The sequence below is a fragment of the Homo sapiens genome, chromosome 2 (assembly GCF_000001405.40).
Source record: "Homo sapiens chromosome 2, GRCh38.p14 Primary Assembly".
NCBI lineage: Eukaryota > Metazoa > Chordata > Mammalia > Primates > Hominidae > Homo > Homo sapiens.
In genome coordinates this window covers 225,095,148-225,119,830 of record NC_000002.12, presented here as the reverse complement: position 1 = coordinate 225,119,830, position 24,683 = coordinate 225,095,148, and the positions used below count along the sequence as shown (strand labels likewise).

Sequence of the window (24,683 nt, the reverse complement as noted above, 5' to 3'; positions counted from 1 at the left end):
CAGCAATCCTTTCTTTCACTCTTTTTTAGGTAAGGGGGAAATTTTGAGTTTTGTGTTCCTTGGATTCTGTAATAATCTCCTACCAGTAACAATGATTTCTGGAAAGTGACCTAGAAAGTACATTTCATATCACAAATTATTATTTCCTTAAATCTGATCAGGCTGCTCCTTCACACACACACCATTCCTCTTCTCCTCTCTGAATAGGGAATCATCTTTCACAGAGAGGGGGATCTGGCAAGCTTTTTAATATTAAAAAAACTTAAATACTTTCCATGTGTCTTAAAATACTCACCAGGGGAGGCAAAAATAATCATTCTCTCCTCTTTCTATTGTTATTCACTCAGGAGAAATATTTCCTGCTGAGAATAATCTTAACAGGTGATCAAAAACACGAGTGGTTTCTCTAAGTTGGATTGTACTGAATAGAGAATAGGAGATAGAGGCTCTGCAGTTCCAGACATTAGAAAACCAATCAAGAGAAACTAGCCAGGTTCTACGATCAAGGGAAGGGGCATGGGCCAAATTAGCCATACACCTGCCTGATCTGCAGACTTCTAAGTGTTTATAAACATATCTCAAAATATATAGCATGAGTCATAGGTCAATTTGTTGTTTCTCTCTTTCTTTTTTTACACTTTATTTCTTCTATCCCATTAGAAAACCTTCCCTCTTAATTAGGTAATCAGAACCTGCAAACAAAAGTTTAGTGGTTCACCCAGGCATAGTGGTTCACTACGCATTTTGGGAGGCCGAGGCAGTTGCAGATCACATGAGGCCAGGAGCTTCAGACTAGGCTGGCCAATATGGTGAAACCCCATCTCTACTAAAAAATACAAAAATTAGCTCAGCATGGTGGCATGCACCCGTAATCCTGGCTAATCAGGAGGCTGAGACATGAGAACCATTTGAACTCAGGAGGCAGAGGTTGCAGTAAGCTGAGATTGCGCCACTGCACTCCAGCCTGGGTGACAGGGCAAGACTCTGCCTCAGAAAAAAAAAAAAAAAAAGAAACCTGCAAAACACAAAAGTTTGGTGGCTCTAAAATAGCTTTGAGTATTTGAATTGAATTAAGCCTCTAAAATGAAGAAGGAATTTTTCACTGAAAACTATGTTCTCTTCCCTGTCTGAATAGGTACAGTAAATATACATATATACAGCTATATATATATGTATATATATTTTTATATACATATATTTATATATACATAAATATATATATTTTTATATACATATATTTATATATACAAATATATATATATTTTTATATACATATATTTATATATACATAAATATATATATATATATATGTCGCCCAGGCTGTAGTGCAGTGGTGTGATCTTGGCTCACTGCAAGCTCTGCCTCCCGGGTTCACACCATTCTCCTGCCTCAGCCTCCCAAGTAGCTGGTACTACAGGCGCCCGCTACCAAGCCCGGCTAATTTTTTGTATTTTTTAGTGGAGACGGGGTCTCACCATGTTAGCCAGGATGGTCTCAATCTCCTGACCTCGTGATCCACCCACCTCGGCCTCCCAAAGTGCTGGGATTACAGGCGTGAGCCACCATGCTCAGCCTAAGTAGAGTAACAATATTAAAAACAGCTAACATCATTGATGTGGGGAAATTTCTAAGCACTTCACATGTATAAGCTTATTTAATCTTCACAGAAACACTTTATCATAGGTACTATGATAGACTAAGACTTTACTCTGAACAGCTCCTCACCATACAGTCTGTCCTGTGAGCAGAACATGACCCCAAAGTGGGAGGATGAATGTTTCAATTTGTGAATAGCAGTGATTGGATTATGAGTCCATTTCTGGGTTTAACTTGATTCTGTAAAATATTGCTATTTTCTGTAGATCTGTTTGCAGGCAGTTTACTTATACCTATGTGCCATTGAGTCTTTCTCTAACAAGTGAAAACAAAATCACCCAGCATTAGAAAAGAGTCAAAGCCATTTGTGTTATGATTTCAGCTACTTAGACTTGCTATTTTAAAAAGTGATATGTATTCCCTGCATGCATCCTACACAGTATTCATGCTGTTCAAGATTACAAATTCAGAATGGAGATTTCCCACTTGAAATCACAGAAATGGATTTTACTTGTAATATTAGTGCCATGAAAAATAATTATGCTTCATCCAATGCTATAAATTTCTATCATGCTCCCTCTCCTTAATATGTAGTGAATTTCACTAGGACAAAATATGCTTTTATCACACAGTGCACTGTGACTACATGTCGATCCTGTCCGCAGTTGTCCACTTTCCTCAACCCTAACTCAAGATGAAGTCATATATTACTGACTGCCAAGGGTGCTCTCCAAATAAAGTGTGTGGCTTGGCACTCACAGCTAGTTGAAACTGATGCCAGTGCACTTCTTACAGAATATCAGGACTCACTAAACAATTGTTTTGGGGAAAAAAAATTTCACAGAGCCCTTCTTGCTCATATATGTAGTCTGCATTTGCCAAGGGTAAAAGCATTCTCTTCCAACTGATGATTTGGTGCACCACAAAAGGGAAATACCTGCTGGTATGCACAGGTGACTGTTGTCACCATTCCACTGCACACTGCCCAACAGGGCCATTTTCTCTCTAAGCATATTTGATATTTGTTGTTAACTTTGAAGGCAGTTGTATCAGCTTCCAGGCAATCATGTGACTTGTGCTTGGTTTTGCAAGGAGAAATGAAACCTTAAATGGTGTCACTTGACTTTTTGGCTTCTCTTTCTTAACAAAAATAAGTTAATTAGGTAATTATCATTTTTGGGCTTGATCTGGACAATTTTAATAGATTTGCCAGAGAGGTCACTATGCAGTTTTATGGAACTCATGCCACTGCTTGACCAAGTTCATACCAGAGAGAACAATGGTGATTAGAAGAAATGGAAGGAGTGTGCAAATCCTCCACATTTCAGTAGTTTGCTTTTTCTTTCTCAACTGCTTGTGCAAGGTCTTCACACTTGCATGTTCACTCGTCACAGCAGGCACACATTCACTGGGGTGCTCGTCACTCTGTATATCAGGGGTCCCTAAATCCCTGGCCATGGACTGGCATGGTACAGAAGGGGGTAAGCTGCAGGCCAGTGAACATTACTGCCTGAGCTCTGCCTCCTGTCAGATCAGCAGTGGCATTAGATTCTTGTAGGAGCAAGCAATAAAAGGTGGGTTTCAGAACTAAATGTTGAAAGAGTAGAAGCATTTTTGTTTACGTACTCCTGGAGAATATTTGGAATTAATTAAAGACTGGCCTCTGCAATTAGAAATAAAATAATCCTATACATGTTGGAAGGGAGGAGGCAAATTTCATTATCTGTAGCTGATATCATTGACTAACTAGAGCATTCAGATTAATACTCCAAGGATAAACTTGGCCCGAGCCATGCCTGACCTGAACAAAAGAATCCTCTTCTTTGCTCTTTGAGCGCTCTCTTTTCATCAACTTTTAGGCACTCATAGGAAGGCACTTTGAGAAACATGAAGAAATGGAATGGGTGAACGTTGTTATAGACCTACACAACCAGCTCTGAAGACAACAACTTTTGGGAAAGCTTCAGAGAGGCAAAGACGTTTAAGCAGATATTAATATGTTGGAGATTCTTGTTCTTGTTAGAGCAATGACCAAAGGGATAGCAAAAAAGATCGAATGGGAAAACGAACTAGGGATCTTTCTTGAATGTGAGGTTTTTCTAGTTTGTGTTGTCCCAAAAGTATACTCTAAGACAAAGATCAAGTGTAAGTATTTTATTTGGGAGGCACAGACACACTGTTAGATGAGTGGGGAAGTAAGACAAGGAAAGGAAGTCAGTCACTAATGGTGTGTTATCAAGCCAAATACTATAGTAGGTAGCCAGAGCTGACTCTCATGGGAAACTCTGGAAAACACACATTTCAGAATTATTCTACTGGAGGTATCAGGGATTGGAAGCATTTATACACGAGTCCCAAGTCTCCTTGGTTGAGGATATTGGTTGGAGGCCCGGGGGAATTCATTTCTCAGGATTTGTAGCTACTTCAAGTCCGGGCAGAGTGGCTTTCTATGGAATGAAGCTTTTAGGCTTGGAGAGGCAGACACCAGCTGCTGGGAGTTGACTAAAGCATGCCGAAATGGTTGAAATAATAGAGATAGGAGTACAGGAGTCAATAAGGATTAGTGGTGGATTGAACCAGGAGTGAGGGGACAAGACAATTCAAGGGTTACTCCCTGGCTACGCTTTCAACCACTGGGTTGATTATGCTGAGGTTGGGAGGAACTGTGGATGACCTACAACGTAACAAGGAAATATGATGGAATAACAGGGACGGAACTACACACATGTGAGACAGCCCCTAAGAAACTCATAGAAATATCTTGTTGGTATTGTGAAGGGTGAAGATTTCTCGAGATCATGTGTGGCCTCCAGTTTTCATGATTTGAATATTATCGAAAATATGACCTTATTTCTAGCCACTGAAGAGTGATACCCAAAAATATAATTTATATACTACAAGAGTGTTTGCAGCTTATAATCTCCAGGATTCTTTAAACAGAATAGAATACAGAAGCTAAACATAAACATCTATAAAATAAATGGCACCATTCAAGGTATTTGCAAAACTGTAATCAAGCTATATCACGATGGCCTTCATATTTTGTTAGCTCCTCAGCAATGAAATATTAAATTTGGCTAACCAGATGGCCTAATATAGAATTAAATTAAATGATTAAATTTAACCATTTCAATTGACATTCCATTGGGTTCACCACTCTAGAAGAGAGAATCTTGAGGGAAGTGAGGCTGCTGTTTTATAACTTTTCAAATGAGGCAATAAAGCCCATGGGGTTGTCAACTACATATGAAATATGAACTGCTCATAGGCAGCAGAACACAAAACAAAGCTTCCTTATAATAAAAAGAAAAATCACACCCTTGGCTTCCCAGTCATTATTATTACAGCAATTCAATTCACGTAGAAAAAAAATTTTAAAAGAAATTAACAGAAATTTCTAGCCATATGTTTATCATAACATTGAACCACTGTTTCTACTTATTTTCTCTTTTTCTTCTTTTCAGTATATCAGCTGACAGCTAAAATTGGCCTACAAACCCCCTCCCATTTGACTCCTCTCTGACCCAATTCAAGCTCCCCAGTGAGAGAAGCACAGAAGCAAAGCCAGCATTTGGCATTTGTTTACTTCTTTGTGTCTCAGCACAAATGATGATACCACTAGAAAGAGTCCAGGGAATAATATTTCTTTGTTATGGTGCAGCCCGCACACCTGCAGGGTCAGTGCATGCATTGTTTTGTGGTTTTCTCATATGCCAGACCAGATGAGAAAGCAATTCTTGTTATTGCTTTGTGATTCAGTATACCAACCCATTCTAATCCACACACATACACACACACACACACACACACACACACACACACACACAAATGCCAGTTGGAATGTGTGTGCAACTAAGTGCATACTTCAGAACTCTAGGCAACTATTAATTTTTGTGTTTTACATTTTATAGCAGATGTTAATTAGGAAAATTTTTAACTGAGTCAAAAAATGTTAATTGAATTATCATGGGATTACATCGGTAAGTGCTGATTTCACCATTATGCTATGTAAAGTTGCATCCATGAGTAAATTATTCAGAGAATTTTAATGAATTTTCCACTATTCCACAGGACTTTTTCTCCCTAGTTTCTCCTTGTGTAGTTGACCAAATAGAAAAATTTAAGCTGTAACAAGATTATCTGGAAATCTATTAAAAATTAGATAGAAAAGTTGTTAATTTACTCTTCTCATGGTGCATTATATATTTTGGGCATATACAATCTTAGGTGAGTACAAAATTTATTATCCAAAAAACTGAAATTTATATTCAAGCTCAGTAGACATGAAGCAATTATAGTTAATATTCTAAACACATTATAGTAAATAATTTAAGATCCAGCATTTGTATATTTCTGCAGATGATGACATAGTGTTCCATGAGGCCATCGTGATTGTAACACAGGGTATAGTGTAGGATTCCAGAGGGATTTCACAAGCAGAATTCTCCCAATCTTAGCAGGAGTCAAAAATTAAGTTTGGCTCACCTAACAGACTTGAGTCTTATCCACCCATAGATTCTGAACATTTCCTTTATGGGTTTGACTTCTATACTATAAATTGCTTGCTTCTCAGGGATACTGAGAATTAACAGTTGTCGTATTTTTGGCAGTTTGGGAGAGGCACCATGGTATACAGTCTCCTCAAATCTGGCATTCACTGCCAGCACTTATACTGAGCATTTCGTAAACAATGAAACATCTATTTCATTTGCACCACTGTTGGATAATCTCAGGCCTTAGGGACTTCTGGATCACAGATGTGACAGATATCAGATTTCAACAGCCTTTGAAACAAAAATGTTCCTGTACATGGGTAGAAATTCCAACCATGTATTTCTATAATTTCATACAAACATTTTGAAAACGAAGTCACAATTATTTTATTTTGTTAAGAACATTCAATGCCTGTGACATTGTATTTTACTGGGTGTTACTCTATCTTTTCACCATTCTACAGAAAAAAATCATGAGATACAGTTTAGTGTAGCAGCAGGGCACAGGCTTGGCATCAGACTGAGCAAAATTAGTTCTGGGCTGTCACATGTAAGAGGTTTATTAGGGGGAAAGATGCTCAGACTTTCCAAACTGTTAACAATTTTTCTTTATTAATCTGTTTTCCATGCATAACACTTATAAGAGGATGGTTAAATAATATGAAAGCATGTAGCATACTGAAAGCCTATAGTCCACAAAATGTAACGAGTGACATGAATCCAAAAGGAGAATGTGCATGTGTGCATGCGTGCACGTGTCCATGCTGACAGCTACCATTTCTGCATTCAGAGGAGAGAGAGGATTTCCCAGGGAACAGGCACTGTGGCTATCGAAAGCAGGGCCTGCAGCCGAACCTGGAATGCAGAAGTGAGAACAGAGATGGCTAAACTGCTCTGTAGGATGAAGTTTAAAGAAAAGGGGAAGAGTAACCTTTTGTACTCACGCTGTTTATTTAAAATCATTTGTAAAAATGATTTGGCGTCTTCCTGTGAGTGGGCTGGAGGGTCGGGAGTCCCAGGCACTGAAAGAGGCAAGTAGATGAAACAGAAAAGGAAGGCAGCTCTGAATGAGGGCCTGCCCCAGCGACCAGAAGGAGGCCCTTGGCCAAGTGGGTGGAGACAAAATAAATTAATGGTCTTTCTGTGATGAAGTTCAGCAGTGGATTTCAGAAACAATGGTGTCTGATATCTAATTTTACTGATTTTCCCATTCAATAGTATAATGCCTTGCCCCTTATCACCCTCTGGTAGTCAGTAAAGGCTAATCTTCCACTAGTTTCACAGTGTTCTTACATTAATGTAACCTTAGGGTTTAAAGAGAAGTAGTTATGACCATACGGGGACAGGGAAAGGAGTCCAGAGAAGACTAGATCACCAGGAAGATATAGCAATGAGATGGCCAGATGCTACCAGGGAGAACAAGAGCACCTGGGAATACAACCTTCAGCATGACAGGCCACAAACATGATGTGAAAGCAACCTCTGAAATTTTCCAACAATAGTTGAAAAGAAACTGAATTTCTTATGTTTATATCAGAGCGAGACATCATTTTTACATTAAAAAGAAAGATAATCCCCAATTTCAGGAAAACTTCAGGATATTCTAGTTAAAGAAAGCGTTAGTAAATTTAAATTTCAAAAAAATAGCTTGAGTTAGTTCAAAAGTAAAAAACTAAAATTAAGTTGATTTATAAGCCTCATTGGTGTTTATTTAAATATTATTTTTCAAAGGTTAATGATCTACAGTAGCCTAATTGTCCATCAACAGATGAATGGATACAGAAAATGTGGTACATATGCATAATAGAATATTCAACCATACAAAAGAATAAAATTCTCTCATTTGCAACAACATGGATGGAACTCAAGGACATTAAGTTAAGTAAAATAAGCCAGGCACACAGACAAGTTTTGTATGTTCTCACTGATATGTGGGAGCTAAAAATTAAAACAACTGAACTCATGTAGATACAGATTAGAATGATGGTTACCAGCGGCTGGGAAGGGTACCCAGGAACAGGGGGAAAGTGGGGATGGTTAATGGGTATAAAAATATAGTTAGATAGAATGAATAAGATTTGCTATTTGATAGCACAATGGGGCGACTGTAGTCAACTATAATTTATTGACTATTTAAAAATAACTAAGGGAGTGGAACTGGAGTGTTCTTAACACAAAGAAATGATAAATGCTTGAGGTAATGGATGGTATTATTCTAAATTCCCTATAGTGCTACACATTCACTTCTTTTTTTTTTCTTTTTTCTTTTTATTTATTTATTTATTTTTTTTTGAGATGGAGTCTCGCTTTATCACCCAGGCTGGAGTGCAGTGGCATGATCTCGGCTCACTGCAAACTCTGCCTCCCAGGTTCACGCTGTTCTCCTGCCTCAGCCTCCCAAGTAGCTGGGACTACAGGCGCCAGCCACCACACCCAGCTAATTTTTTGTATTTTTAGTGGAGATGGGGTTTCACCGTGTTAGCCAGGATGGTCTCGATCTCCTGACCTCGTGATCCACCCGCCTCGGCCTCCCAAAGTGCTGAGATTACAGGCATGAGACACCACGCCCAGCCACACATTCACTTCTAACTGGGATACCACTTTAATAAAGGTTTGATGTAAAAGTCTTTTCTCAATATTTAACAAGTTAGCACTGAATTTTTGCTGCAAACACACTTTTCACATTTAAAACTTGAGTCCTGGAATATGTCTTGGGGGTCTGTGGGTCATGGAGTCTGACTCTTTTCATTGAGAGTTCATCAGGGAGTTGTTGAAGCTGATACAGTTTGCAGAGATTCCGCACATGCAATATAACACCACCAGTAGAATGACCACGAATGTGCACGAGAAATGCTAGATAATAACTAATCAAACTTCCAAACTGAACAAGCTTTACATTATTTTTTTTGCATCTTCTACATTTCTTACCATGTAACAATCCACACAGTGGGTAAAATATCCAGCAAGTAAAAGAATAAAAGGTACTCTTCAATTTACTGGATATTTTGTACCTTTTTAGAAAGAAAACAAGGTGAGAAAAAAAAATGCCCCAAGGACACTCTAATACTAGCGTAGTAGAGCCTACCAATTACTCGAAATTCACTCTCTTTTTTATCCAGAAGTCGATGGTGCCATTAAAGACATCTTTCAAAAGATCCTCCACACTAACACTTTTCTCTGAACTAATCTTATTGCATATTAATATAGCAAGGAGAAATTTTCTTAGGAAAAAAACAAACAGTAGTCAGCAATGAAATTAGTTTTTGCACTGAAGTCAAATCATTATTTTGTCCAAAAAAAGTGATATTGTTCTTAATCTTTAATGTTTGTGTTTAAAACATGTTTTAAATTAGCTATTTTATTGAATTAAAATTATTTGAACATCAATTATTCAGATTGAATCATGCGAAGATCTAAAAATAATACATGTAAATCAATAAATACACCTAGAAAGAGACTTGGGCAGGACAAAGAAATTTGTGCTATAACTTTCCAGTGCTGGCCTTATTAGCAGTAACAGTTGCTACTTTCTTGCCTATTCACTTAGGAGATTTTTTTTTGTAATTTTATACATTTAAAGAAAACAGATGGGCGTCATGGAAGTAACTAAGCCTAAACAATTTCAATATTAATATTATTCAAGGATAAATATTTCTCCAAGAAAGTAAAAACGTCTTGGTAATGTGATACCATCAAGGAGGGTACTTCAGTGTTAAAGGTGATTTCTGCATGAAAACTTCAAGGAAATAATAAGGCATGCTACACTCACAAACTCTATTGTCAACAAAGTACTAAGTTTTCCTCCAAAGTTTGGGGCAGAAAGCAAAAGAAAAATAACAGTGTTGCAGTCACCCCTAAAGGTGAAATGCTTGGGTGTGGGGGTGTCACTGACCAAAGGGAATGTTTCTAGAATGTTCTAGAATAGAGGATGCTTCACATCTGACCCAGAGTTCCAGAGGACTACACTATGGAGATAAAAGAAGACCACTATTCAGGGCAGAAGTAAATATTACTGTGGTTTCATTAGCAGTAAAGGTCAGTGCACCAGCCTCCCCCCAATTCCAGCTATAAACTGAGAAGCAGATAAAAATCACACTATCAGGAGAAAAGGAGCCAACTATGTGTAACCTCCTTGATCTCTCAGACACAAGTCTGTATGGACTTTTCCTTGTTTAATGATAGTAAAATGAAAATAGGGCATGTTATGAAAATAGGGATCTGGGGGAAAATGCTGTAAAAAAAAAAAAAAAAGGAACAAAGGCACTGAACAATCCATTAAAAGTTGATCTCCTCCACAGAATACCACAAGAAATTGTCCTTACAAGAAAAAATATCCAAGGGATAGAAAAGAAAACAAGGGATAGGAAAGCACAATTAGATAGATGGAAAGGATAAAGAAATATTTCAAGAATACTAAAAACAAACTATAGGAATGGCAAACTAAATTGAAGCAAAATTGATGCTGTTTTAAATGTAATCAATATTGTAGAGACCAGACAAGCAATTTTCCTAGAACCAAGATGAAAGAGCAGAGGAAAACAATGATATGAGAAAAGAGAAGAGAAAATGTAGAGAAAGACTCAAGAGTCAATAAAAGATGACAGGCAGTAAGTTGAAAGAAAAAAGAGAAAATTTGAAAGGAAAAAATAAACATTTGTAGATGAAAGGGATCTCTGTATCTCATACAAAATTAATGGGAAAAAAATGAAGAAGAAAAGACAGAGAAAAATATGCTTAGTCATTTTACAACATGGAAACATTTCTGAGCTAGTTAATATCCTTTAAGGATAAATTCAAATTCTAAAATCATTCTGGCAACAGTGTTAGTTTGGACTTACCACCATTACCTCCTTCAAAAACAATTCTTATTTATTGTCAAATAATAACATTGTTTATTGTAAAAAACAACAATGTTGTCTTATTCACTGCCAAAAGACAATGAAATGACATTGGTTTAGGCCAGTGGTTCTCAAAAACTTTGGTCTCAGGATCCCTGCTGTAGTCTGAATGTTTATGTCCCCCTAAAATTCATATGTTGAAACCTAATCTCCAATGTGTATTTGGAGATGAGGCCTCTGAGAATTGATTAGGTCACGAGGGCAAAGCCCTAATGAATGGAATTAATGACCTTTTAAAAGAGAACCCAAAGAACGACCTTGCCCCTTCCACCATGTGAGGACACAGCAGGAAGGTGCCATCTATGAACCAGAAAGTGGTTCCAAACCTGACAAAGCCTTGACCTTGGACTTCTTAGACTCCAGAACTGTGAGATGAATTCTGTTGTTTATAGCAACCTAGCTTATGGTATTTTGTTATGGCACCCTAAACAAACCAAGACAATCCCACAAATTCTTTTTTTTTTCTTTTTTTCTTTTTTTTTTTTTTTTTTTTTTGAGACGGAGTCTCGCTCTGTCACCCAGGCTGGAGTGCAGTGGCGTGATCTCAGCTCAGTGCAAGCTCTGCCTCCCAGGTTCACGCCATTCTCCTGACTCAGCCTACCGAGTAGCTGGGACTACAGGCGCCCGCCACCACGCCCGGCTAATTTTTTGTATTTTTAGTAGAGACGAGGTTTCACCGTGAAAGCCAGGATAGTCTCGATCTCCTGACCTCGTGATCCGCCCGCCTCGGCTTCCTGACGTGCTGGGATTATAGGCGTGAGCCACCACGCCAGGCCCCCACAAATTCTTAAAAATGTTTGAGGTTTCCAAAAGCTTTTGTTTATTTGGATTTTTTCTATTAGTATTTACTATACCAGAAATAAAAATGATATATTTTTAAGAATATACCGACTAATTCATTTAAAAATAACAAAATAAACCCATCACATGTTAACATAAATAATCCATTCTTAGAAAATTTTTCCAAAACTTTAATGAGAATCATTTTACATATTTACTAATCTTTTAATGTCTGGTTTATAGAAGACAGCTGGATTCTCATATCTGCTTCTGTATTCAATCTGTTGCCAAATTACACATCACCTAGCCTCTGAAAAATTCCACTGTGTAAGCTGAAGAATGAGAGAGAAAAGGGCAAATATTTTCATAGAATAATTTGAAAATAGTTTTGAATTCATTGACTTTCTAAAAGGGTCTCAAGAACCTCTCATATTCTCACTTTGAGAATTCTGCCTTATGCTAAAGGGTTTTCATTAAATAAATAACAAAACTATGGAGGCAAGGTGAGTCAAGGATTGGTGGATTCACTGGCTTATTGCCATCATCAGGATCTTGCCATCTTTATCACTGTGCCATTCTTGGAGAGTATGTCTTTTCTTACTGGCTGGCTTCCTCATGAACCTAAATCTATCATAGTTTCAGACATCAACACTGGAGACTAGAGGCCAAAGAAAAGTTCCAGTTCATAAATAGTTTTCATAGCTATAAAACAATTCTAAGATGCCCCAGCCAACTTCCCTTATGTTCATTGGCCAAAAATACATGACATGTCATTCTTTGACTTGACCAATCAGCTGGATGAAATCACCATACTTGGGCTACATGCGCACACACACACACACACACACACACACACACACACACACATAGATATAGATCCTTAAATATGCATATGTCCTTTGAATGTGCATTTCTACTTTCAGGTATTTATCCTAATGAAATTATCAAATGTGTAGAAAAATAAATGCATTTTGATATTTTACACGGCATTTTTATATTAGTGGCATAATCTTTAAAATTTTATGGTCCAACCATAAGAAATTGGTTGAATTTTTTTTTGTGCTTTCACCAGTTGAATGCTTTGGAGCCATTAAAAGTGAGGATGTGGAATTACCCTTATTAGCATGGAAAGTTGCTCATAGCATATTGTTTTAAAAAAATGAAATTTACAAAATAGTATGAATCCACTTTTGTAAAACATATTCAAAAATGTGTGTAGACTATATATAGAAACAGTAATAGTGATCATTTATGGGTAGTCATATTCACTTTTCTGAATTATCCAATTCATTTATGAATGCATATGATTTTTTATAAACACATTATTTTATAATATAATTTAGTGAAGCTATTTTCATCTTGAAAAACAATGTAATGCAGAAAATTTTCTAGTTCACTAGCATCAGTTGAATACATTTTAAATACATCTTAAGAATTCCCTTTCTCAACGCAGGAAACACGTTTCAATCTTTAAAACATTATTATGCATACGCAAATGTTAGGTCATTTAATGTGACCAGTTTAATTCCATGTGATTTCATAGCAATACCAGTGGAAATCAAAATCATCAATCACATTTGAAAGTATCTCTAAACCACATTTTCATAAATTAATCTTAGTCCTATAAAAGATAAAACAATGCCCTAAATCTCTCTGTAATTGATTTGAAGGCATAGAAATCCCATTTACTTGAGATCAGAGGGTACCTGGGGACAGATAGTTGTTTGTGGAATTATGATTTCAATATCAAATACAATTTGCTCATTTGATAAGTACCTGCAACACTCTGTTTAAGAACTACTTTAATATATCTGATTAGAAATCAAAATAAATTTTAATCTTCATTTTACTATTGATTGTTCATGTCTAGTATTCCCTAACACTGCCTAGTGTTCACTCATTCATTCCATTAAATTACTGACTACCTAACATGCCCTGAGTATAAGGATGGGCCCTATAGGTGCAGAAATAAACCACAAAGTCCTGCTCAGAGAGATTCAAGAGATGGGACTGGTGAGGTGGCATTTTTAAAATCTGAAATGATAAGGAAGAAACAATGTAAATAGGAATTAATTTGTGGAGGGAGAGGCTGATGTTCAAGGCAATGTATGCCTGAGCAACGTATGCCTGAAAGGGTCTGCTTTCTCTGTAACGCAGGAAGCAGTGTCCTTGGCTGGGACTAGGCAAGGACGTGCCGGAGATGAGGGAGACAAGTGCCTGGAGACTTGAACAGAGGGATGAGGGTATGGAATATGCTTATGAGGAAAGTCAAGGAAGTGAGCCAGAAACTAGAAATCTGATTAGTAAGCTCACTTGAATTATCCATAATTTCAAAGCAACTCTGGGAATAGGTGATTATGACAGAACAGAAAGCATGCAAAATCAAAATAATACTTCTCTATAACAGCAGTCACTGTTTCCTATGTACTAACAAGAAAATGAATATGCATTTCAACTGGGACAGAGATTCACACTACCTACTAATAAAAAATAGAAATAAAAGTAGGAAGGGAAAAGGAGACTAAGAAGTACAGGAATTTGCAGAAACCTGTGGTACCAATCCTGTTCCTGAGAGTTCAATGCCATGAATAGTATCAACAATCATTAACATGCCATTGTAAGACTTTCTATCCTTCTACTTTGTATTTGTGCTCAGATCTTTATATATGTGTCAATAAGTTATGCTAGCACTTAAAAGAAAATCTTAATTTGAGAACAAACTATAATTATGTGATATATCATTAAATAAATTAGAAAGTAGTGGTTAAACTAAAATAAGCAGTGAAGACAGTAGACACAAACACTTGTAATTTTTTTTTTCCAAGACAAAGTCTCACTGTGTCACCCAGGATAGAGTGCAGTAGCGTGATCATGACTCACAGGAGCCTGACTTCCCTGGGCTCAGCCTCCCAAATAGCTGAAATTACAGGCGTGAGCCACCCCACCCAGGTACTTTTTGTATTTTTTATAGAGACAGGGTTTCACCATGTTTCCCAAGCTGGTCTCAAACTCCAGAGCTCAAGCAATCCACCCCACTCAGCCTCCCAAAATGCCAGGATTATAGGCGTGAGCCCCCACACCCAGCCAACACCTATAATTTAATCATACAATAGTCTGATATTTTACCAAGAATATAAATTTTACTTTAATGTATCCTGGTAATTATGAATAAGAATTTAAAATAGTACTGTGGTTCTACAGAAAAAGCTGATAACATTGAAGTTTTATTAAATTGTTTAAAAAGTAAGACATTTTAATCAAAATGCGAAATTTCAATCTTCTAAGCAGTTGTTTGCTTGAATGCAACTAATTCATGAAATAGAAATAGAGATAAATTTGGATTTCAGTGCTATATTTTCATAGAACCCAATATTTCCTACCAATTATTCCTAAGGAAACACCTAGACGTCATTCATTCTAGTGAATAAAGATAAGCAGCCTGAAGTGAAATGTTTTGAAATGTTTATATATCAGCAAGGAATGAACCATTGTGTAACAAAGGAAGTATCCATAATCTTTGGCCAGTGGGCAGGGGAAAGGTGATATTTTGGGGAAAGATCCATTCATTCACATAGTTGCTAAGTACAGTTAACCCATGTTCCAATGCCATGGAGGCTAAGAGTGCCAATCTCTGACACAGTCAAAAAGCATCCTATATAACTTTTGACTCCCTAAAAGCTTAACTATCAATAGCCTACTGTTGACCAGAAGCCATACCAATAACATAAACAGTAGACTAACACATATTTTATATGTTGTATGTATTATATACTGTTTTCTTACAATAAAGTAAGCTACAGAAAATATTATAAGGAAAATCATAAGGAAGAGAAAATACATCACATTTACTATTCATCAAGTGAAAGATCATCACAAACGTCTTCATCCTCATCATCTTCATGTTGAGGAGGCTGAATAGGAAGAGGAGGGGTTGGTCTTGTTGTCTCAAGGGTGATAAAGGCAGAAGAAAATTCACATATAATTGAACCCACACAGTATTATTCCAGGGTCAACTGTATATTTGTAAAATGAGTCATCAGAAACACAGCCTTAACAAAATTCTATTCTAATTTTACTAAGCATGCTAGACATTCCGTATAAAAATGAGCTCCTGCCACCTCAAAGTAGGGTGACCAAACATCCCAGTTCACCAGGGACTTAGTGGGTTTCCATGATGCAAGACTTCCAGGTTTAAAATCAAGACACTCTTGAGCCAACTGGGACCAGTTGGTCACCCTACCTAGAACTGACCGTCTACATCTGAAATGATTAAATCTCCAAAACTTCCAAAAGAAAGTATCATCATACTTGTGCTGAATCACCCAATAAGGCATCTGCAAATGAAAAGAATCCAGAGGTCATAAAAATTTATAAGAAATTATTTGGAGTGCAAAAAGAGCATTGAGATCCAGCATGGAAAAAACCTAGATCTTCTTTGGGCTTTCCCACACTACTTACAATTTAGAATGGATTTTCCTTTGACTTGCAGATGGCTGGATGTTACCATCATAATCAGGCCCTGTTCTTTAAACTCCTAATCAAGATGTAAAATGTGGAGTGAGAGTAAGAACACTTCCAATTATAGATGATGTTATAATTTTGTTTGAAATAATGGAAGATGGTTTCAATAGACCAAAACCATCAAGATGTACAATAAAAATATCTGAGGGCATTTCTTCCTCAAAATATCTTAACACAGCATTGCAATTGTTCTTTCCTCAATTTTTAAATGAATGACAGCATACAAGAAGAACACTTTGAGATAATAATGAACAATAAATGAATAATCAACACTTTTGTCCATATCGATATCTAATATAGTTAAGCCTTTCAAATTGAAGGTGAAGTGGAAGTTCTATTACTATCTGTCAGTATATTGCTATGAAAATTTAAGAAGAAAAATTAAAAAGAGGAAAGCCTTTTTCAATTTTATTCTCTTGGGAAATACATATATTAATTATAACTTAGATGATTAGAACTATTCATGGTCAGAATGCTTAAAGAAGCCCTTCTACAGACTTTTAAAAAATATTTAAGATTTTAAAGTTTCTTTGAAATGCTTTCCCCCAGTTGATAGCCACTAATTGGTAAATGTATAGACACTTTTACTTATCAAAGTCACTGTAAAAATGTTTGAATAAATATGAATTTGAATCTAGCTTGTTTGGGATCACTGTTCGCTCCATTACTTAAAAAATCTATTTATGCACAGATTCTGGATTCACAACAATAGTCTGACCTTTAAAATCCTTCTTTTTTGGATCCTTGTCTGCAGTAAGAACATTTTTCTCTTACTTAAAATTATCAAATATAGTTAAAGGTTAATTAGGTGGCAAAGCCAGATATGACTCAAGAAAATATATCTTGCAAAACTAGTGAGAATTCATTATAATAGCTTGCAAAAAGCCAGTAGTGTCAAAAACCCAAATAATAAACAACCTACTGAGTTGGAAAAAACACAGACGTTACTGTCAAAAAATCTGAATACTAGTCCTGACTCTGTCATAAATTAGTTGTGGTGTTTAAGGGAAAAATTCGAACCCCTCTGGGTTGCATTTTTAATTTCTGTATAATAATAAACTATGGGCAGGGCGCGGTGGCTCACATCTGTAATCCCAGCACTTTGGGAGGCCGAGGTGGGCAGATCACCTAAGGTCAGGAGTTCGAGACCAGCCTGACCAACATGGAGAAACCCAGTCTCTATTAAAACTACAAAATTAACTGGGCATGGTGGTGCATGCCTGTACTCCTAGCTACTCGGGAAGCTGAGCAGGAGAATCGCTTGAACCCGGGAGGCGGAGGTTGCAGTGAGCCGAGATCGTGCCATTGCACTCCAGCTTGGGCAACCAAAGCAAAACTCTGTCTCAAAAAAAAATAAAATAAATAAAATAATAATAAACTATGGGTTAATAAGTAAATTAGTATATTCATTGGTTTTTAATACATACCTTTTTGTATTATACTTTAAATTCTAGGGTACATGTGCACAACGTGCAGGTTTGTTACATATGTATACATGTGCCATGTTGGTGTGCTGCACCCATTAACTCATCATTTACATTAGGTATTTCTCCTAATGCTATCCCTCCCCACTACCCCCACCCCACGTCAGGCCCCGGTGTGTGATGTTCCCTGCCCTGTGTCCAGGTGATCTCATTGTTCAATTCCCACCTATGAGTGAGAACATGCAGTGTTTGGTTTTCTGTCCTTGTGATAGTTTGCTCAGAATGATGGTTTCCAGCTTCATCCATGTCCCTACAAAGGACATGAACTTATCCTTTTTTATGGCTGCATAGTAAACCAACCCAAATGTCCAACAATGATAGACTGGATTAAGAAAATACATACCATTTTTTAACGGAAAACTATAACATAATATATATAACTTCTCAATCTATTTATTCATCCAATTGTAATTGTGTGGAGAATTTCTAGAAAGATTATTACAAGATGTTGACCATAATTGATTCTAAGTAATGGATATTTGTGGGGTTTTTTTTCTTTTTTGTGTTTTTTTCCTTTCTTTTTGAATGTTTTTGTATCACTTGGATGTTCTACATTTGACTATGATTTTTTTCTTTTTCTCTAAAGCAACAAAATTCCTCCCAGTTTAAAAAGAAAAAAGATGTTTCCTCAACTGTAAAAAAAAATTTAATAAATTTTAAAAAAGTAATTCTGGTCAAAATAACACCTATAAGGCATGCAAAAAGTAACGCCAAAAGCTTGAAACGTAAAAGAAGTTACTTGCTTCTCTTCCATACTGGTTTACTCCTCAGTAGTTTACGACCACCACTTTCCTTCTCAGAGGCAACCACTTACAAATCTTCTAACATTATTATATTATTTACCTTCATTGCAGTCTGGTGAGTCATCAATTGTAAGCATCATCCTTAGTCATTTACTTAGCAGAGGAGTATTTTAGCTGATTCATCCCCTTCCTCCTCTTCCATCACCAAATATGTACCAATTTTTGGTTAAAATCCTGCCTGGGTTCACAGAATACAGAAAATTCCAAGAAATGGTCCCTCCCACACTAGCAGCAAGAAAAAGCTGCATAATCCACAGATCCTAAACCTTTCTGGAAGCCTATCTGAGAGCTGACATCTCAAGGCAACTGGATGAACTGAATGCTGAAATGTCCAAGCCCTTCTGGGGAGAGACAGATAGGACACAGGAACTGAGGAACTATCCTTCCTCAGACAGAGCAAGGCAGAAAAAGGGAGAAGCCAATGGAGAAAAGGAGAAAATATGCTCATACCAAGACTCTACTGTTATAAATAAAGTTTTGTTCCCATGGTAGGAAAAGTCAGAAATGCAAAAATATCTATTTCCTGTGGCTCAAATAACACGGAGTCTAATTCAGCAGGAGAAATAAGACAATCGCTCTGTCCTAACATGAGTCTTGTACCAAGTAATAAACAAGAACAGTGTACTGGTGGGAGAAGGCAGGAGTACAGAGAGGGACCCTCTCTATAGTACAGCTGTGTATGATCTGCTAAAAGGACATGGAAACATACTCCGATACTCCAGTGTTCATACTAAGCACAAGGTAGCTGCAGTCCATTACAAGAGGAATTTGAAATATGTGCATACTCAAAGTAGCTATAGTGACAAGAAAACCCAGGCACAGCTAAACAATAGACAAAACTGACAAACATGCTCATTTCCAGGAGTAACTATTATTTACTTCTGTCTGTAGGGTTCTTTTACACAGAATGTTTGGCATTCTCCAAAAATATGACACATACACACACAGCCATTGTCAAACAATAAAGATATAAAGACAACCAGAGAGCGAGATTTTGTATATATCATACTAATAATTTTAAAAACTACAGTAAAAAATGCTAAGGAGTTTAGTGAAAAAAAAAGATGGTGTACATGTATGAACAAATGGGGGAACTTACAAGAGAAACTGTAAGAAAATGACAAATGAAAATGCTAAAATGAAAGATAAGACATTAGAGATAAAAATTGCTTAGTTGGGCTTATCAGTAGACTGGATACAGCACAGGAAAGAATCAGTGAACTTGAAGACAAGAAACACACATACAAAAAGTCAAGAAAATAACAGGATCAAAGAGCTATGGAACAATGGTGCACAGTCTAATGTATGCATTATTGGAGTTCCAAAAGTCAAAGAGATAGAGAATTGAGTAGAAAAAGCATTTTAATGTATAATGACCAATAATGTTCCAAAATTAATGAAAGACAGTAGTCCCAGTTTTAAGAATCTTGGGAAAACCTAAGCAAGTCAAATACAAAATTAACATAACTAGATCCAGCACACTCACTTAAGTAAGAAATAATACTTCTTTTACATGGAATCTTCCAGATTACAGAGGAAGAGGGAACATTTCCTAACTAATTTTGTTAATCCAGGATTACCTCAATTCCAAAACCAGATTAAGAAATTACAAGAAAAGAAAACCACAGACTACTATGCTTCATGAAAATAAATACAAGTGTCCTCAATATTCTAAAAGCATTTAATATAATATGTATTGTCAATACACATTAATAAAATTCAACATCCATTCATGTTCAAAAGTCTCAGCTAAGTACGTATAGAAGTGAACGGCCTTAATCTGATAAATATATCTGCAAAACATTTACAGATAACATCATTTGTAATGGTAAAAGACTGCCATGTTTCCTCTAAGATTAGGAATGAAGTATGGAAGTTCATATTCACCACTCCTATTAAACATCATATTGAAAGTTATCGCACCAAAAATGAGGCAAGAAAGGAAGGAAAGAAAGAGGGAGGAAGGTAAGGAGAGAAAAAGAGAGATCGCCTACAGAAATAGTTGCTTAAACTAATAATTGACTCTAGAGAGGTTTGAGACATACAGACATCTACTGTATTTCTATATAGTAACAGTGAAGAACTGAGAATTGAAACTTTTTTAAAGTTACATTTGCAATGACACCAAAAACACAAAGTGAACTTAACAAAAATTATGCAGGATCTCTATGCTGACAACCACAAATGATGGAGGAAAGAAAAAAAGTCAAGTAATAGAGACTCAATACCATTGTCAGTTTTCCCCAAATTAATTATAGATTCAATGTAAACCCAATCAAAATTGTAAATCTTTTTTTGTAAATTCAGAAGCCTGATTCTAATTCTTTTTCTTGTGCTTTTTTTTTTTTTTAGATGGAGTGAGGTGGCACAGTGTCGGTTCACTGCAACCTCTGCCTCCCAGGTTCAAGCAATTCTCCTGCCTCAGCCTCCCAAGTAGCTGGGATTACAGGCGCGTGCCACCACGCCCGGCTAATTTTTGTTATTTTCACTAGAGACGGGGTTTCACCATGTTGGCCAGGATGGTCTCGGTCTCTTGACCTTGTGATCTGCCTGCCTCAGCCTCCCAAGGTGCTGGGATTACAGGCGTGAACCACCGCATCCAGCCTGATTCTAAATTTTTTATGAAATGGCAAAAAAAAAAAAAAAAAAACTAGAATGGCTAAAACATTTTTTTAAAGAACATCAGAAGACTCATCCTGTCAGACAGTGTGATGATAAAAGGCTAGGCGCAGAGATCCTTGGAGCAGAAGAAGGAATCCAGAAATAGAGTCTACGCATATAGAGCCAATTTATTTTGACAAAGAGGAAATTTAATGGAAGAATTTAATGAAAGAAGCATAGTCTTTCCAACAAGTAGTGTGGGTACAATTGGATATCCATATGCAGAAAATGAACAGGGACTTACATCTCATGCATTATAGAAAAGTAACTCAAAACGGATCATAGATCAAAATGTAAAACTTAAAACATACAAATGTGGAAAATATTTTTAATCATGGATTAGGCAAAGATTGCTTCAATATGATACCAAAAACCATGACTCATAAAGAAAACATTGATAAATTGGACTTTAGCATACTTAACCTCTGCTCTGAGAAAGACAGTTTAGAGAATAAAAAGACAAGCCATAAAACAAGAAAAGACAAATATGTAGTCTATATATATGTCTTATATATAAGACTACATGAAGTAGTCCCAAAATGTAATAAAAACAACCCAATTTTTAAAATGGACAAAAATTCAAATTACTTCACTAAAGAAAACACACAGATGGTAAATAAATGTGACCATGAAAACAGAGTCAACATCATTGATCATCAGGGAAATGCAAATTATAACCACGACGAAATATCACTACATGCTTACTGGAGTGGCAAGAAAGAAAAAAGAAAAACCATCAATAACAAGTCCTGGTGAGGAAAGAGAGCGCCAGCTCTCCTACATAACTGCTGCAAATGCAGATGGTACAGCCACTTTCAAAAATGGTTTGTCAATTTCTTATAAAGTTAAACATATAGCTACCATAAAATTCAATGCTCCTAAAATTTTACCTAAGGAAAGTAAAAACTCGTATTCACAGAAAAGCCTCTTTGGAGAAGTTTACAGTGGGTTTATTTATAATATTTTTCTTTTTACTGTTGCAACAAAAATGACTGCTTGCATCAAACCAAATACTTATATTTCATGCACTCCCTCCACTGGTTTCTATGCTTTCTCTTTATATAACAATTTCCTACACATCTGTAGTTCTCTTTAGGGCTCTTTTCTGTTGCTCTATGCATTGAATCTATTTCTACAGAAAAATTATCTTAATAGGACTTAAAAATAAATCTAGACTTCTAATTAAAAGTCCTTTTACTTTCTCTCCAGAATTCCTTTCCTTTTTGGGATCTTGAAACCTCAACGAGGATTTTTAAATCAATGTAGATCTGTAGAACTGCATATGTAAATATTTATAGCAGTTTTATTCATGATAGCCCCAAATTGGAAACAGCTGGTGAATGGATTAACAAACTGTGATACATATAAACAATTGAATACTATTCTGCAGTAAAATAGAACAAGCTATTTATACATAGCAAATGGAGGTAGCAATACTGCATACCTCATAAGATTACATGAGGATTAATTGAGTTAAATCAAGTAAATTCTTAAAATAGTCCTTGTCACATAATAAGTTCTTAGTATTATCAATTTTTTTCAGTTTAGAAATTGTCTTCTTTGTTTTATTTATTTCTTTAAATATCCAACTAAGTCTTGTCACACACTCCATCCATTCTGTAAAACATTTTCTCTTACTGTCACCTTCTACGATACACACTGACCACAATTATAGAGCTTTTTTCATTTGAGAAGACAAATAAACTTAATTATCTTCAGTTCTCCAACCCTTCATTACATAATTTTTTCATTTTCTGTTGATAATTAGTCTGATTTTTATAATGCTTCTATTTTACTTATTTACTCATATACTGTGAGCATATTTATCAATATCCTAGTTTCGTTGACAAATGAAGTATGTACTTATATTTCTTATTCTCTTTTCAGTTTGGGTGACTTCCAAGGGAGCAAGAGATTGGGCATCTGCATTTATTTACAAATGTTCTTGTTCAACTGTTGCATTAACTGAAAAAAAAGAAAGGGCATTAAAAATCACTCACTGCCGGGTGCGGTGGCCCACGCCTGTAATCCCAGCACTTTGGGAGGCCGATGCAGCTGAATCACAAGGTCAGGAGTTTGAGACCAGCCTGGCCAACATGGTGAAACCCCGTCTCTACTAAAAATACTAAAAAAAAAAAAAGTTGGGCATGGTGACGGGCGCCTGTAATCCCAGCTACTCAGGAGGCTAAGACAGAATTGCTTGAACCCAGGAGGCGGAGGTTGCAGTGAGGCGCAACCGCGCCACTGCACTCCAGCACCGGCGAGAGTGTGAGACTCCACCTCAAAAAAAAAAAAAAATCTTTCACAATTCTACCACTCCTACCACAACTCTTCTACACTTCAGAGTTCTCTTTTACTCTTTATCTGAGTACAGGAGACATTAATACATAGCAATAATGGTAGAGGTATAATTTTACTGTGTTTTTTTATAAGTAAATATTGCATCATAAATATACCCCGATTTTGAAAAGCCACTTAACAGATCAACAGGTTCCTCAATTGCATTTCTCAGACATGAATACACCCTACTCAAATCATTCTGATGATTAGAAAATGGGGTTTCTGACTGTGGCCCCAGGCTCTTTATTATACTATTTTATTACACAAAAAGATACATATATATTTTCAATTCCTTTTCAATCATTATTCTCTATTCTAGTCCCTTTTTTCCTGTCCTGAGATGCCACCCTGTTGTGACATCTCTAGATAGATAAACAGGATAGATAGATAGATAGATAGATAGATAGATAGATAGATAGATAGATAGATTAGATAGATAGATTGATAGATAGATAATAGATAGATACTTATCCAATTTGCTTTTTTCACTCAACAATGTTTTTGCAAGGAATTTTATGTGCAAATTTGTCCTCAGTAAACTATAGCATGTAACTGAGTGGATGAGTAAAAAATTCAGGTAACCACTCACTGTATGTTTATCTCCACCATTATGTTTTGCCAAGAAATCAGTGTATATAAAAACTTAGATTGTGTCCATAGAAGTACTATTTCTGATAGCAAAAGACTGGAAAAATATGAAAGAATAAGCCAAAACAAAACAAAGAAAAAGCCACTACTAAAGGGAAGGAAAGCCGTGTGCAGTGGCTCACGCCTGTAATCCCAACACTTTGGGAGGCTGAGGTGGGTGGATCACTTGAGAACAGGAGTTAGAGACCAGCCTGGCCAACATTGTGAAACTCCGTCTCTACCAAAAATACAAAAATTAGCTGGGTGTGGTGGCACATGCCTGTAATCCCAGCTACTCCCAAGGCTGAAGCACAAGAATCACTTGAACTCAGGGGGCAGAGGCTGCAGTGAGCTGACATAGTGCATGGCACCACTGCACTCTAGCCTGGGCGACAGAATGAGACTCTGTCTAAGCAAAAAAAAAAAGGAGGGTCGAGAAAGGGGTGGAAACATGCATGCTCCTCTGAATACATCTCCTTT

General features: G+C 36.5%; 2 annotated features.

The window, feature by feature from the left end:
* Positions 15,209-16,408: an enhancer, noted in NCBI's record as "CDK7 strongly-dependent group 2 enhancer chr2:225968140-225969339 (GRCh37/hg19 assembly coordinates)". NCBI's record gives its function as "activates an origin of replication core promoter dependent on BRD2, BRD4, P300/CBP, MED14 and CDK7 cofactors, with strong dependence on CDK7, by STARR-seq in HCT116 cells {active_cell/tissue: HCT116}" and the evidence as "EXISTENCE:reporter gene assay evidence [ECO:0000049][PMID:35650434]".
* Positions 18,173-19,372: an enhancer, noted in NCBI's record as "P300/CBP strongly-dependent group 1 enhancer chr2:225965176-225966375 (GRCh37/hg19 assembly coordinates)". NCBI's record gives its function as "activates an origin of replication core promoter dependent on BRD2, BRD4, P300/CBP, MED14 and CDK7 cofactors, with strong dependence on P300/CBP, by STARR-seq in HCT116 cells {active_cell/tissue: HCT116}" and the evidence as "EXISTENCE:reporter gene assay evidence [ECO:0000049][PMID:35650434]".